Source organism: Homo sapiens, chromosome 22 (assembly GCF_000001405.40).
Source record: "Homo sapiens chromosome 22, GRCh38.p14 Primary Assembly".
In the NCBI taxonomy this organism is placed as follows: domain Eukaryota; kingdom Metazoa; phylum Chordata; class Mammalia; order Primates; family Hominidae; genus Homo; species Homo sapiens.
This window is the reverse complement of record NC_000022.11, coordinates 25,678,119-25,695,439: the sequence shown is the minus strand read 5'-3', so window position 1 is coordinate 25,695,439 and position 17,321 is coordinate 25,678,119. Positions and strand designations below refer to the sequence as shown.

The 17,321-nt window shown below is 41.1% G+C and overlaps 1 protein-coding gene across 5 annotated transcripts in view; it reads right to left on the bottom strand.

Moving 5' to 3' along the window:
• Positions 1–17,321, bottom strand: part of GRK3 (G protein-coupled receptor kinase 3) — a 164,620-nt gene that overhangs the window by 33,855 nt on the left and 113,444 nt on the right. For all 5 annotated transcript variants that reach the window (NM_005160.4, NM_001362778.2, XM_047441167.1 and 2 more), the window contains 5 exons: positions 16,525–16,624; positions 10,192–10,270; positions 7,773–7,903; positions 5,157–5,251; positions 226–333 (listed from right to left, as the gene is read on the bottom strand). In NM_005160.4, coding sequence (NP_005151.2) covers positions 226–333; positions 5,157–5,251; positions 7,773–7,903; positions 10,192–10,270; positions 16,525–16,624 — 513 coding nt within the window. The remainder of the gene's footprint in view (positions 1–225; positions 334–5,156; positions 5,252–7,772; positions 7,904–10,191; positions 10,271–16,524; positions 16,625–17,321) is intronic.

The window sequence follows — 17,321 nt, the reverse complement described above, 5'->3', positions numbered from 1 at the left end:
ACATGGTACAGAATAAAAATACGAAGCCATAAGCTTTTATCTAGCAGCTTATTGGGAAGCAGCTTTCACTCTTCTAAGACAGAGTCTTCCAGATTAGCACATGGCTTAAAGATCACTGTGTGATTTAAAATAACATTAGCGTCTAGTCATTTCTACATATTCTCAGTTTTCATCCAAGCTCCTGCTGCCATGAGGACAGCACTAGAAGGATGCATTTCAACTCACCCTCTCAGAAGTTTGAAAAGCATGCAGCCCAGGGAGAACCAGTCGGCACTGCTGTCATAGGCCGTCCCCTTCTGCAGCACCTCGGGAGCCATGTACCCATGGGTGCCACTAGGGAGAAGAAAGTATACACAGTTATCAGAGCATGCCCACTTTAGAAAACACTAACAGCGCCCCAAGGTCCGGGTGTCCTTCATTAGATGGCAGCGACTGTAAACAAAGGAGAGGGGACAGTTGTGCTTCACCGCAAACGTGATGCACTGAACATCCAATGGGAAAACGATCTTTTCTGCCTTCACTCATGTATGAATTAACATAAATAAGCGTATGAAATAAATATGTAAAATGCAAGTTCGGGATCTCATTAGTCCTTCTCTACTCCAGCTATGAAGAGCAAAGGTTCTCCTGCCGTTTCAGGAGCTCTCATGTGGAGGTGCATGGGGTCAGGGGAGGCAGGGAAAGGGAGGAGTGAACGGATGATGAACAGGCGACCACGCTGCGGCGCTGTGGACCTTGAAGGCATGGAGACGTCCACCCCTGTGTGGTGCCACCAATTGTGCTGAGGACCTGAGCTCACAGGGGCATCGGCTTGGTCATGGTCACCAACAGACCCCAGGGGGATGGGAAAGAAGGAGGAACATGAGCCCAGTTGTACATAAGATGGAGAAATCACGTGTCAGGTTTCAAAAGCTGCAGAAGGTCAAAAGGACTCAGCACTAAGCAAATGTGAAGATGATTTTCAGGAAGTTGAGAAAAATCACTTAGGAGGACAACCATTTTATATATAATCTGCACCATCTGCAATTCGAAAGCCCTTCCCACTCTAGCACTCTCCACCCCTCCTTGAAGGGCTGAGCTTGCCCGGCTGCAGCAGGAAGCATGCGAGGCAGCCGGTGGGGAACTTTCCAAGATGCAGCCTGACAGGGCTCTGGCAAAAGGTTGTATGCCCTACAACCTTTTCATCCACGATTAATTTTCTTCATCAGTAAAATGGGTAATCAGATGACATCTCTACCTCTCAGGGTTGCTGTGAGCACTGCACAAACGTCATGGGGCCACATACAGCAGCCACTGGATTCGTGTTGGGGATTTGCATCTCTGTGCTTATCTTAGTGTAAGAATTTTTAGGCCGTGTGCACTGACTCATGCCTGTAATCCCAGCAGTTTGGGAGGCCAAGGCAGGCAGATCACCTGAGGTCAGGAGTTTGAGACCAGCCTGACCAACGTGGAGAAACCCCGTCTCTACTAAAAATACAAAATTAGCCAGGCGTGGTGGCGCATGCCTGTAATCCCAGTTACTCGGGAGGCTGAGGCAGGAGAATCACTTGAACTTGGGAGGCAGAGGCAGAGGCAGAGGTTATGGTGAGCTGAGATGGTGCCATTGCACTCCAGCCTGGGCGACAAGAGTGAAACTCCATCTCAAAAAAAAAAAAAAAAAAAAAAGAATTTTTAACTTGCTTATGCTCAGCAACAGTGAGAATCTACTCAGAATAAATGATCCTGGATCACTAATAAGCCTGGGTCATCATGGGTCTGGTACTCTCTGTCTAAGAGGTGTATTTGAGAGTTTTATCCAACAGTGAAAATGGGCGTTGGTCCATCAGGGCAAATCCAGCATTCTGGAAAGCTCAATCAGCCCGAACCTAAAGTTTGACAGGGTAAGGTCATCAGGCCACGCTGTGAGAGCGTTGGAGATTTCTATGAGGGACATCCAAGCCATTTTCCGGGAAGGTTTAATTTCAGGGTTGCCTGGAAAGTCCTTTTCCGTGACTTTGTAACCTGTACTTATCAGGATCAAGTCACAGTTCTGGAATGGAAAGATATCTACAATAGATATCTACAGGATAAATAAGATAAATGAATGCAGACCAGCCCCCCATGCTTTTACCACATACAAGGAAAACTCAACCTTGGACTGCCTGCTGCTGAGGTTTTCTGATTCTGCCTAAGGCAGCTGCTAATGCTTCCTGACGCATTCTGCTAAAGATCTGTACTACTATTAATACTGAACGAACACTTGGACGTTTTAAGACACTGTGACATGAGACACAGCTTTGTGTTCTTAGATAAAATAAGCTAGTACTCAAATTAGTCACTGACAATCTGCTCAGCTCCAAAAGTTTTCCTGCGATTTTTTCATGGCTACTTCACAGTTAACTTCTAGTTTACAATAATTTGCGATTCTTTCGTTAAATGGACTAAGTCTAAGCTCAAATCAAAAACCTCAACTACAATACTACTTTGGAGATGGGCCAGCCGCTGGAAGAAATCTAAGAATCACATCTACAGCTTTGAAAAGATCTGAGAAACCAAGTTCAGGGTGAAATTGTGGCTAAAAATCTTCCGTCTTGTACTAAATAGATCATGCCAAAGCCTCAGGGAGTTCATCCACACAGCGTAAAGAGTACAGGCTTTGGAATCAGACAGAACTGGATTATAATTCTAGCCCCATGGCATACCAGCCATGTGACCTGGTTCAAGTTACTTACTTTCTCTGAACCTCAATTTCCATACCACAAAAATTGGATAGTGACACCTATAAATACATGGGCTTTCCGTGAAGATGACATATGCAAGCCTGGAACAGCTGGATATTCAGTGAGTGACACAGTGAATGCTGCTGGTACCGCCACTACTCCATATGCTGGTCACTTAGGGGACACAGTTCTCAGGGCTGCTCGTTCGAGGAGGTCTGAGGTCAGCTCTGTCTTACCGTGGCATCGCCAGCAGCTGGCACACAGCAAATGTTAAATAAAGACTTGCTGAATTATTTAGTTAACTTAATCCTCACAACTATCACAGGAGATAAATATCATTGTCCTCTCCTCCTCACAGAAGGGACAATGAGGCTGACACAACTAGGAAGAAGAACCCAAACCCAGATCTGTTGGCTCCAGAGCCTTTATTCCTAGCCACAAAATGCCTCCTTTATTTAAAAATACAGGATTTTGACAGGACACAGTGACTCACACCTGTAATCCCAGCACTTTGGGAGGCCAAAGTGGGAGGGTTGCTTGAGTCCGGGAGTTAGAGACCAGATTGGGTAACATTGGGAGACCCCGTCTTTAAAAAATATTTCTTTTTACATTAGCTGAATGTTGGGGCACATGACTGTGGTCCCAGCTACCTGGGAAGCTGAGGTGGGAGGATCACTTGGGCCCGGGAGGGGGAGGCTGCAGTGAGCCGTGATCACACCACTGTACTCCAGCCTTGGAGACAGAGCAAGACCCTGTCTCAAAAAAATAAAAAATATAAAATTTTGTTGTATGTTTACCTTTTTAAAGTAGTAGCCTCCTGATCATTATTTAAACATGGAAACCAACCTTCTCAGTCCTACCTCTTTACAGATGCTGTTCAAATATTGTACTATCCAGAGCAGGCAAAAGAACAGCCCACCGTTCAGAGCTGACATGTGAATTATAGCAAAAAGTGGACTAGGTCCTGCTAGGAAATAAATAACCCCATATCTGAAAGTTAATTCCTCTGGAAGATTATTTCTTATGAACTCTTGGATTCATATTTAGTTATGACTATACTAAACTGAAAAAATTAGCATACCAAATAACTGTGGCATTAAAAATTCAAATGACTCTCTTAAAAGAATCTGATGAACTCCCTGAGAGACGCTTATACGACCACAGGTTCTGGCCTAATAATTGTAAAGTGCTAGCAAAATGCTAATGCTTTTATCACCATATCCCAGATTCTGTAGAAAAAGAGAAATATGTTTACAGAAACGGTGCTATTCACTATTAACATTTGATCAGAGCTTTAAAAGGCAATTTTGATTTAATGCAGTCCTTCATAAAGTATTGCAGTTCAGAACCACTTTACTTCTAGTTACACAAAGAGAAGGATCTGTGGTTTATTTTCTGCACAGATGCATGAAATGAGACCACTGGGAGTTTTTTTTCAAGACCAGTCAACACAGAGATGAATGTTAGCTTAAGATGTCAATAAAATGTAATTTTAAAAGATTCAGTGCTAAGGAGGAGACATCTAAAAAGACAAAATAAAGCAAAAGTTGTCTGCTTTTCCACAAACTGTACATGTGTTCATACTTTCCACCCAGATCATCACCTACCAAAGAAACAGAAATGAAAACCAGTGCACGTTCCATGGTGTTTCTGCAGAGCCCCGGGGGAACTGCCCTAGTCCTGCTGTCTTTTTAACAACCCCGAGTACAGAGAGAAGTCCTCAGGTCAGGGCCAACTTGCACTGATCAAGCAGGGCCACACCCAGAAGCAGTCTGGTGTCCCCGAGGTGTCAGGTGCTGGCTGAGAGCTGTGGCCTCAAGAGTTCCCTCTGGGTGATCACGTAGAGGACCTGGTGCAAGACCCAAGTCTAACAATATGGCCTGCAGTGAAAGCCTAAACTGCAAGCAGATGATTTGTTTCTTTAATTAAAAAAGAAAGAAAGAAATATTCCTAATTTCTCTTCAGGGAAAAAAAAAAGAAGAAAAGCCTTTTTGAAAAAGAAGGAAAAGTAGATGAAGACAGAAACTTGGCCCCGAGGACCTCCCTTGACCACATCCACGCAGCTGCCCCGGTGCCTTTCTAGGCACAGTCTCTTTCACTTATCCTTAGGACAACTTTGAGGGGTTTATTACTACCATTACTAACAGACTAAGTAACTGACTGACTTTTAGGGTCACACAGGTAGCATGGATTCTGATTTTTTGCTGAGGTCCTGACTGTTTCTGAGAGGCCACCCTGGTCCCTGAGCAGGTTCAACTCCACTGTGGGTTAATTCCTGCTCTCCGCAGACAGTGAGGAAGGCATCCTGTTCTTATCTCCTTTCCCACGACCTGTGATGTTGGATCTTCCTGACATATTGAAAATCACCACTGGTAAGAGAAATGGGGTGACAAATGGCCACGCCTTTGAAAGGGCAGGAGAGAAATGGTGGTGAACTGAAGTTGACGCACTACTTACACACTCGCATGAGGCTTCTTTTTGGAAAAATCGCAGGCAAGACCAAGATCTGATATTCTTGCGTGTCCATGTTCATCCAAGAGAATATTTGCTGGCTAAACAGAAAGAGAATAATCTTTAATAAGAGTGCCCCAAATGCCATGCAGGCTTTGAGAACTTTGAGTGCAGACACCTGATATCTCACTATTTTATCATAGTTTGTTCCTAAACACAAATTATAGCTTTAGCCCATCACATCAAAGTGGGGCATGATACTGAGAATAATATCTTTCATGTTAACTTCAGCAGCAAAGTGGTAATGACAGAGGCGAAGGATTCTACTCATTAGAAAATGAAACATGGGGCAGGTAACACAGGAATGTTGGGAACAGTTCATCAGCATTAAAAGCATTTCCTTTTCACTGTACCAAGGACTGTTGCGCAGCCACAACAGCATGCCTCTCAAGGGCAGGAGGTGAGTCCACCAGCTTCTGGGCTTCTGAGAACCACAAGGATTTCTAAGAGTAAAGCCATGAAGCACAGGACAGACAGGAAGTTTCTAAGAATGTATCAACACTGACCTAAGCAATCAAAATATTCCATAGTGCCACACTAATCCCAATAAGTGTCATTTCTGCTTATTAGTACATCATTAACATAGGGCCCTACCAAATGACCAAATATAATTTTGACCACAACTCTGATGAAATGTATCCATGAAGATTAGATTTAGTCATCATAATCATGAAAAACAAACCTAGTCTCTCGGATATACATTGAATTATAGTCATCTTAATATTTTTCTGCTGGCGATCAACTATTGTTTTGCTTGAAATAAAAATAAATGGCATGCTATTAGAAAACTGAAGCATGAATAATCATGAGTGACTAGAATTAAGTTTGAATAGAAATTAAATAATACCACTGCCTTCCAAATAGCTTAGAAAATAAAAATAAAGCATAAAGATGATTAGAAACCAGTTACTGATTTAAATTAGAATGTATTACAATAGCGCTTCATGGGCCGTCAGCATGTGTTTTGTTCTTTTGCAAAGCTCGCATAAGGAAATAAAATGTCAAGGGCCAACTATTGTCTAGTTATTTCTAATTCAATAAAAATACATTTTTCTTCTTTATGCTTATAGGAAAACTAAGAGAATAATAATAATTCTGTAACCTTACAGAAAGGTTTAAAATTCACAAAGTATTTTGTAAAAAAAAAAAAAAATTCTTGGAAATAAAATACAATTTTTATAATATCTTAGAAAGTAATCTTCAAAAGCCAATCACAGCATCTCAGCTCCCTAGAGGAAGGAACATAATCTGTACATTTCAGTTGGCCACTGTGGGTTCATTCAAGAAGGCATCTGAAATGAGAGGCAAACACATTCTCCTGGAATCTTCTCGCCTATTGGCAAATTGTCAGTCCCATCATTTTTCTTATTACAATTTACGCATTTCTATGTTTGCGCAATCATTAATTCATCAAGGTCCCTTTTTCTCCATGCCTGCCTGCAGGCTGTTGGCCATACAACTAGGTGAGTGTCACCATGGACACCCTGAGCCAGCTTCTACCTCCTTCCCACATGTAAAACCCAGGACCAAGCACCGCGTTCTGGAATGGAAAAACTCAGAATACTCCTATATCATTGCTTTCAAGGTGAGTGAGCTCTCACAGAGGACAAGAACAGAAACTCGGGCACAGCAGTTGGAGGTTACACAGTGCAAGGATCTAAAACTCTATCAGTGATTTTTAAGGCAATCTCAAAACAATGTAAAGCTGTGAGGGTGGCCTTTGAGAGAAATTCCGCAGGCTGGTTGGCATCCACTATTCACTGATAGACCTTGCCTTGGAGGAGTTATGACTCGGCCATTCTATGTCTTAGCTCACCAGCTTCTAAGCCCCATAAAATATATGTTCTTTGCTTATCCATCATTGTACATTTCCAGCCCTTTACAGAGCCACGACCAAATCAGTTGCTTAGTGAACATTAGCTGAATTATAATTAACTATGAAATGGGTGACACCAAAAGGGCTCCTAAACTGCTTTTTTTTTTTTTTTTTTTTTGAGACAGAGTCTTGCTCTGTTGTCCAGGCTGGAGTGCAGTGGTGCAATCTCAGCTCACTGCAAGCTCTGCCTCCCAGGTTCACTCCGTTCTCCTTCCTCAGCCTCCTGAGTAGCTGGGACTACAGGCACCTGCCACCACGCCCGGCTAATTTTTTGTATTTTTAGTAGAGACGGGGTTTCACTGTGTTAGCCAGGATGGCCTTGATCTCCTGACCTTGTGATCCGCCCTCCTTGGCCTCCCAAAGTGCTGGGATTACAGGCATGAGCCACCGCACCTGGCCTAAATTGCTTTTCATTAACTAATCAACTAAATATTTGGCTTAGTATACGTGCTGCAGCAGGCACTGTAGTAGGCACCAGGGTTATAATAATGACAGGGACAGACATGCGCTCCGTCCCCGCAGAGTCTGGTCTAGAGGAGATAAAATGTCATATAGCTAATGACTTCATCAGGGCTGAGATGAGGGCTATGAGGAAAATGACAGGACTCTATGAAATAGAAGGGGACTTCTAGAGGACCATTCACACAATACCTACTATGCAGAATGAGTCTGTCAATCGTCCTCACCTTCAAATCTCTGTAGACAACAAACCGATTGTGCATGTGTTCCAGACCCAGAATGATTTCAGTGGCATAAAACCGCATCTCCTTCTCAGAGAACACACCGTGTTGTGAAAGGTGGTAGTGCAAATCGCCCCCTGGAATCAGATTCAGAATTTAATTCAAAGCATGTTAATTTAAAGGAAACAAATATCATTGTCATCCTAAATAGTCAGGACTCAGCAGAAAAAGGGAAACTATGCTTCTGCTTGGTCTATATACCTATGTTTCATTCCTGTAGTTTAGCAACAGCTTAAATGTTATAGAGAAAACTTAAACATTGAGAAGATTTAAATACAATGACAGGAAGGACAAGACAGCAAAACCAAGCCACCATTCTCAGGCTGACAGCTCAGCTTCTAGTTCTGCTCTCACAAGGTGGGACTAGCTAACCTGCTTTGATTACCTAAATCCTAGTAAGTGAATCAACCCATGGAGTGATCCAACAGACAGCTTAGCAACTGGCTCTATGGATAGACAAAAAAAAACAAAAAAACAAACAAAAAAAAAAACTAGGCTGGGCACAGTGGCTCATGCCTATAATCCCAGCACTTTGGGAGGCTGAGGTGGGTGGATCACTTGAGGTCAGGAGTTCGAGACCAGCCTGGTCAACATGGTGAAACTCCGTCTCTATTAAAAATACAAAAATTAGCCAGGCGTGGTGGCACATGCCTGTAATCCCAGCTACTCGGGAGTCTGATGCAGGAGAATCTCTTGAACCTGAAAGGTGGAGATTGCAGTGAGCCAAGATCACGCCACTGCACTCCAGCCTGGGCAACAGAGACTCCGTCTCAAAAGACAACAACAACAAACTGATCATACAGACAGATATTTGACAAAGCACATACAGTAAAATTTTCACTGATAAAAAATCCAGGTGGTGGGTGTCCCCAGGAAAATTCTTTCAATGTTGCTATCTGCTTGAAATTTTTCATAATAAAACGCTGGAGAAAGGAAATTATCAGATGGCCTCAAATTACACAGACAGAGAATGCTGTCAACAGGGTAAGGGAATGATTTTATAAAATACAAGGGAAAAGCCTCTATTGATTTATAAAAATGAATGTGTGTCCAACTTTATTACCCTTGCTTTCGCAAGCATATTTCTCTCTCCATACACATATTCCTGTAAAACCACCACCACATCAAGATGGAAAAGATGCCCAGCATCCCAAAAGCTCCCCTACCACTATGCCCTTTCAGTCAAGACCTTACCCCCAAGCCCCACTCACACAAAGGCCACTTTTAAGGCCTCTCTCCCCATCCATTAGTTTTGCCTGTTTTGGCAGTCACATAAGCAGGGTTACCTAGGGTAGATGCTGCTGTGTTTGGTGTTTGGCTTCTTTTGCTCATTATTACGCTGTGAAATTCCTTCCTGTTTCGGGGTAGATCTGTTTTTTGTTTTTTTTTTTTGAGACGGAGTCTCGCTCTGTCACCCAGACTGGAGTGCAGTGGCGTAATCTTGGCTCACTGCAAGCTCCGCCTCCTGAGTTCACACCATTCTCCTGCCTCAGCCTCCCGAGTAGCTGGGACTATAGGCGCCCACCACCACCCCCGGCTAATTTTTTTGTATTTTTAGTAGGGACGGGGTTTCACAGTGTTAGCCAGGATGGTCTCGATCTCCTGACCTCATTGATCCGCCCGCCTCGGTCTCCCAAAGTGCTGGGATTACAGGCGTGAGCCACCGTGCCCGGCTAGATCTGGTTTTAAATCAAACACTCAGAACATGATAAAACTTCAAGTGAACTTAAAAAAAAAAAAAAAAAACTAGGCATGTGAGTTGTGAATTGTATGCTTTATTTCAGTTCTTGTTACTAAAAATACTTTAGATATATACCATGACACCTTCTAGTATCAGAAAGCTCCTTTTCTAGCTGAACGTTTTCCAGCATTTTCAAAGTCATCATCCACAGTTTAAAAGATCAATGTACAGTAGTGCAGATTTAGAAGGTGCAGAAGATTGGGCTAAAATCTGTACTTGGCCCAAAGTCAGTCCTTCAAAGTTGGTTTTTAAATACATTTCTATCTTTGGCCTATATTCTTATGAGGTATTTCATTCCTAAAAGTTGAGGGCCAGGAAATAAGCTAATTAAAGATCTAGGCCAGCTGCATTCCAGAAAATCAAGTTTCACTGTAAGTATTTCATGATAATCTTTTCTAGAATCTTTTCTTGGGAAGAGACTGGGAGGCCCAGAAGGACGTTGCAGTCAACATTGAAAAATGAATTTTCAGTGAAGATTAAAGGGTAAAAGGTTTCCTCAAACTTCAGGGGGAACCTAATTACCTGAAAGACCCACATTGCCAGTCTGCCTAGATTAATGCATGCTAAGATTTAACATCATGGCAAAGTCTTTCAAGGCATTCAGATTTTCCAAGTTTTGCTTACCGTTCATCAGATCCAGGATGAAGCAGAGTTTATCTGGGGTATGGAAGGCATAGGTCATACATACAATGAAAGGACAGTCCTAGAGTGAAACAATAAAAGTTTATAAGAAGAGCAAAAGCTGCCTAGAAAGCACATCTACCACCAAACACCATGCTACATATTTTTAAAATTACTTTATTTTTTAATTGACACATTGCAATTGTACATATTTATGGTGTACAGTTTGATGTTTTGACACATATCTATGTTGTATAATGATCTAATCAGGGTAGTTAGTGTATCCATCACTTCACACATTATCACTTCTTTGTGGTGAGAACCTTCAAAAGTCTCTCTTCTTGCTATTTTTTAATATACAATATATGCTGTGGGTTTTTATCCAAGCTGCCACCCCATGCATTGAGCACCAACACCTATATGGTAATTTTTAAAGTCACAGTAAAATGGAGCTGGTTACATAATAAAATGCATAGAGACACAACATTAATAATTGGAGCAGATGACCTTGAAGGTCCTTTCTTGCTTGGATTCAATCATGTCTCTATCCTAATTATATCCTCTTCAAAAGGCTAGATACAGAAACATATCACCATCTTGCCAGGCTTTTTGCTGGTCAACATTTTGTTTCTGGCTATTCAAATACCCATTTCAATCTCTGCTTCTGAAGTTAATGGAATCACAGCACGGGTCAGGGAGGGAGGAATGTTATTTGTGGCGTTGTTTTGAAACACTGAGAATAAAAATGGAATTAAATTAGCTTTTGAAAGTGGAAAACTATTATCATGACCAAGGACTCAATAACTCAATTGTAAAGATTTCAGTGTTCCCCTAATTAAGCTATAGATGCCATGCAATCTTAATTGAAATGAAAATTGACAAGTTGGATTCTAAAATATATGTAAATGTAAACAGTCAAGGAAAGTTCCAATATTCTTGAATACAAACAAAGCTGGAAAACTTACAGGACCAGATATCAAGACTTATTAGAAAGCAACAGTAATTCAGACAGTGTGGTATTAGCCCAAGGACAGACAAGTAGACCAATGAAATGGAAAAGGGAATCCAAAATAGGCCCACACATAAATGGTCACTTGATTTGTTATTAAGGTGACACAACAGGGCCTGGGGAAAGGAAGGTCTATTCAATCAGTGGTGCTGGAGCAACTGAATATCTGTACAATAAAATATGAACCTTGACCCCTGCCTCACACCATACGCTACAGCCATTTCCAGCTGATGTAGATTTAAGTGTAAAAGATAAAACAATAAAGCTTCCAGAAGAAAACAAAAGAGAATATCTTCATGATCTTAGGGTAAGTAAAGATTTCTTAGGCCACAAAAGGCAGTAACAATAAAAATGTTAATTAGACTAAAATAAAATTAAGAACTTCTATTCATCAGAGGATACCATTAACAGAGTAAAAAGACAAGCCACAGGATGGGAGAAGATATATGCAACCCATAAATACACAAAGGACTCATATCTATAATATACAAAGAACTTTAAAAAATCAACTTAAAAAAGTCAACCAACCCCCAGAAAAATGGGGAAAAAAAATAGGCAATTCACGTAAGAGGATACCACATAGCCCCCAAACTAATGAACAGATGCTCAACCTCGATGTCTCCAAGGTAACGCAAATTAAAACTACAATATGCCATCACTAAACCCACGAGAACAGCTAAAAAGAAAAACACTGACGATACTGAGTGCTGGGAAGATATACAGTGAATAGAACTTTCATATATGGCCACTGGAAGTGTACAACGAATGGTGCAGCCACTTTAGCAACCCATTTGGTGATATCTACCAAGGCTGAGTGTCACTTGCAAGCTTTCTGACATAGTGATTTCACTCCCAGGTAGACATCTAATAGCAATCTGTACTTATGTGCACCAAGATACCTGGACAAGAATATTCAAAACAGCATCATTCAAAATAGCACAAGCCAGGAAATAACCCCAATGTCTACCAACAGTAGAATGGATAGTATGGTATATTTATACACTAGAATGCCATATAGATCATGGATCAGCAAATGTTTTCTGCAAAGGGCTAAAAAGTAAATATTTTAGGCCTTGCAGGCCGCATATAATCTCTGTCATCTATTATTCTTTGCTTATTTTCTTTACAATCCTTTAAAAATGTAAAAACCATTCTTAGGTAATGGGCTCTATAAAATAAGGCCAACAAGCTAGACTTGGCCTGAGCCACACCTGGCTTTCTGACCTCTGCTGCACAGCTACAGGAGGGAGTTACAGCCGTGGGCAACACCACAGATGAATCTTGTAAGCAACATGGAGTGAGAGAAGCCAAACACAGAAGGGCACATTTATAAAGTTCAAACACAATTTGCAAAGCTAAAATATGCTGTTAGAAATCTGGGTAGTAGTTAAGTTGGGTGCAGGGTTAGTGACTGGGAGAGGCACAAAGAGATTTCTAGAATACTGGTAACTTTCCGTCTCTTGATCTGGGTGCCGGAGATGCGTGTATTCCCTTATGAAAATTCATCAGTGCTATGCTAGATCTATTAGCTCTATTTAGATCTATTTTATCTATGAAATCCACTTAGATTCTTTACATAAAGTGTATACTTGTCACTAAACTGATTCAGTTTTTAAAATGGCCTAGATTGTCTATATCTTGTTTCTTAACGAACACAAAAAATTATTAAATTCCAAAGAAAATGTTCAAATTTCAACATAATCTGTAAACAGAATTTGCATTGTTAAAGCTAACAGCTCAAGACCACATCCCTAGGAGGCTCAGCCCCCCTTAAAATGACTGCCTCAGAGAAATCAAGGCTTCCCAAAGAATTTTTATTTGTTCCAGCAAACACTCAAAGATAGAGCCCCTATCTCCGAGCCTCCATGGGAGGGTAGGAGTCTAACTTGGATAAGTCCCAGTTAGCAAACCCAGATGGGTCCCATATGGACCATGCCCCTTCCTGCATTGTAAAATTCTTCACTTCCTTGACTCTGCTCCAGCCCGCATTGCACTCCACAGGCCACTGTCCCTTTAAAACATCCGGTCACCTCTGCACAAGTCAGAATGGAGCTCCATTATTTCTCTTACTGTCTAGTCATTACCAAATAAATGCTGTTTTAATTACCAAATAAATGCTTTAACTAAAGTCCAACTATATTTATCTTTGACTCGATGTAAAATAAACACGCAGGTGAAGGAATCAGATGTGGTTATCTCTACAGAAATCAGTTACTGCAACCCTCACCTCTCGGGGTGCTGAACAGACACTATAATGGGTTTCATGTGGAGTCCAGGACACAACCGAATACTGACCAATATGAAAAAATAAGTGGCAATTTAATGAAGGGTGGGATACAGTTCCAAGGATAATTATGGATAAGACGGCCTGCCTTGATTACAAGTCAGAATAAAAGTGGATTTTTAGAAGTAGACCATTAAGTAAAACTCTTGAGCAAGGAACTGTCTACTTTGATTTCCTACTAAAAGTCAACAAAATAGCTTACATTTTGCAGGAACTCGCCATAAAAAAACTGTGATAAAACAGGACCATGAAGTCGTTGTTGAAGAAAATCCTCCACACTGCAGCCGGAGCAATCTTTGTGAACTGCAAGGCTGATTATGGTCTCTCTCTAGTTAAAACACTTGGTTTCTAACTGCAGTCAGATCATTTAGGCTCCTCAAGATCGGCCGGCGATGCCCTTCACGGTCTGGCCTGGCCTTCATGTCTCTCTCCAGCTTTGTCTTGCACGACTCCCCCCACCACCGCAGACCCTGGCCCCTCATCTGATTCCCCCAACCTCACGTGCCTGGGCTCAGAGGAGCCACGTGCACTGGCTCCTCTCCAGGTAACCCCCAACTTCAGAAAGGCATTCGCTGACCCCATCTCCACCCTGCGAAAGGCCTTCCGAGCACTGTGTGCCTGTCTTCCATAGCTCTTGCCACAGGTCCCAGTTGTCCATACATTTCCGTCATCATTTGAATAATACATCTTTTCCCTTTCCATGCAGCTGTATGAGAACTAAGAACTGGGACCACAGTCCCAGCTTGCCGCAGAGTGCCTGGTTCAACCTAAATCCTCAACTGTGGTTCAGGGAATAAATGAGTCACGCTTCTGAGGAACTTAAATGACTGACTGGATGAATTGCTGACTGCTCTTCACAGCTGTGGACACGCTTATGCTGGTTCTCCAACATGCATATTTCCTTTTTTGCCATCTGAGAATTACAGAAGAAAACCGGGAACAGTACTTCCTACTGTCTTTTGGGGAGATGGGTAGGAATACTCAAGTTGAGATTAAAAAAAAAAAAAAACCTTCCAGTAAAAAGAAAACTGTGGTGAGTGAATGCATTTCAGTTACATGTCCACAATACGGGAAAGCCTGCCGATACAGTCTGATCAAAAGCTTCACTTAATGAGGGTATTTTCAACTAAGTTTTATTAAAAACTATAGAAAGTATCCCCTGATTAGCAAAAACAATTCCAAATAACTTTACTATAATTATTTTTGTTAAATTATGCATTTATAAATTTTAAAAATACCATACAGTTTTGATATCTAAATAAAATACAAATAATTCTTTTAAATTAGTTCAAAGTGATAGCCCAAAATAACCCTAATTTTTTAATTTACTCTTTTAGGGTTACACCAGTGAGAAACTACACAACCACTTAACCACATCTCCTCTCACCTGAGTCAAATCAATATAAAAATATTACATGAAAACTATACTTATGTTTTTCCAACATTAAAACGTTTATTTTCTATAGGCTTTCTTGAGAATAAATATCCAAGGCTTTGAGATAACTCACTGAAAATTAATATTTTAATAACCACTTAAAATCTTCATCCAGTACTCACATCCACGTTTGAAATTTAGGATACAGACATTTCCAATAGAAATTAAAAGCCAATGCCATTCACACTGACTCCAACAGAGTATGCAGGATGCTTGGTTTCCATTCTCATCAGTTAAAAACTTGGTCACACACACAAAGCAACTCTTATTTGAAATGCTTAATGCCCATACAGTGGGAGGTCAAGGCACATAATTAGAAATTATTTATGGCTATGGGGTTTCCATTTGTTGTAACTTAGCTACATTATGCTATTCTTTTGCTTCAATAGCAAATACCTCTTCCAGAAACACTTTAATGACAGAATAATATAAACCATAATACAATAAATACAGGTGACAAACGAAAAAACATACAGCCTATAAAGTGATGATAAAAGGAGCACTGGCCAAAAAGTCTAGAGATTTGGGGAAGGAAATTAACCTCTCTAGGTCTCAGGTTACTTGCTCAGCAGTTGAAAGGGATTCTTTCATTACCCACTAAAATTTGGTTTTTTCAGATCCTTTTGGTGAAGACCTTACTTAAAATCCAGCCATGGGATCTAGAAGTCTCGCACATTTCTCACTGAATATAAACCTTCCTGGCTGGAGTATCTACGGTTTCATTCACATGTGGGGTACACAGTTAGTTAGTGTCTGGCCCCTCCACGCTCACCCCATGCCTCTCCCTCTCTGTCCTGACTCCCTAACCCACTCTGAACACCAGGTCACAGCCATACCAGTGCACACACGCTGTAACAGGGTACTGAGAGGACGGGTTTTTTGGATGTGTCTTCACATACACTGGCATCTGTACAGACACATAAAAGCTGAGGTTTTGATCTTGGGTAATACCATTAACAGAAAAAGAAATTGGAATGGGCAGCTATTTAGTAAGTAAAGAAGATGTAGGGTAAAAGTGGGGTCACACATGTTGAGCTAAAAATGATAGCTTAATATACAAAGAAAGTGTCCAATAAGTAGAAATATGGTGCTAGAAATGGAAAGGCTGATAAACAGAGTAGCAGGTAGTGAGAGGCAGGTAAGATCACCTTCCAGTGAAACGCTGACTAGGGACAATCTCAAAAGGACAATTCGGATGTGAGTAATCCAAGTCGCTTCTCTCGATTCGCTTCTGAAGGACAGAAGCCACTTTTCTCTTACTTTTCCCCTCTAGGTTAGTCCTTCTTGCCAGTCGTTTAGTCAGGTCTTGACTATATTCCAGTGATTTTTCTGGCTATCATTATTTTCTGCCATCTCTACTACCATATTCTGCAAAGAAGGAAGTCAAGGACAAATAAATAGGCACTAAACGGAGAAGCCATGGGTGTGCATAATGGAGGTGGCTGGTGTTCTTCTAACTTGCAAAATCAAATAAAGAGATACTATCAGATTCTAACCCACCCAAGAACTCACTGGCCTTGCAATCAGCTAGAAGGAAAAATAATAAATCATCCTGCTATGAAACAAACAAAACATTTTTAAAAGAAATGCTGGAAATTGAATACTTACTCCTGTGCTGACAAGAGACAACATGATTCTTTCATTTAAGGCTAATGTTTCTCCTTGTTTCATTTTGATCCTCTTCTTATCTAAGCATTTCATTGCATACCTAGAAACATAAATTTATTGAAAAATCTATGCCGTAAATATATCTAGACTAATTTAAACAATATATGTCACTCTGGGGCAAGTTTCTGAACATTTAGGCCATGTTTAAAAGAAGCAGAGTAATACCCAAGCGCCATGCAAGAAGTATTTTTATTTTGCATGTATTGTGAAAACAAAATCAAGCAATACTTAAAAGATATTTGTATCATTAAATGGATAGAAGTCCCAGTTAAATAAATGATAAAGTAGATGGACATAAATAATTTTATTATGACTAATAAGGGCATATGTATATATTTAGCAGCTAGGAATTGTGAATTCAGCAATGGTCAATTGTTTGTTTTTTGTTTTTTGTTTTTTTTTGAGACAGAGTCTCACTCTGTTGCCCAGGCTGGAGTGCAGTGGCACGATCCAGCTCACTTCAAGCTCCACCTTCCGGGTTCACACCATTCTCCTGTCTCAGCCTTCCAAGTAGCTGGGACTACAGGCGCCCGCCACCATGACCGGCTAATTTTTTTGTATTTTTAGTAGAGATGGGGTTTCACCGTGTTAGCCAGGATGGTCTCGATCTCCTGACCTCATGATCCGCCCACCTCAGCCTCCCAAAGGGCTGGGATTACAGGCATGAGCCACCGTGCCCGGCCAGCAGTGGTCAATTTTTATAAGAGTTTATAGAGGTTAAGAATCTAAAACAGTGA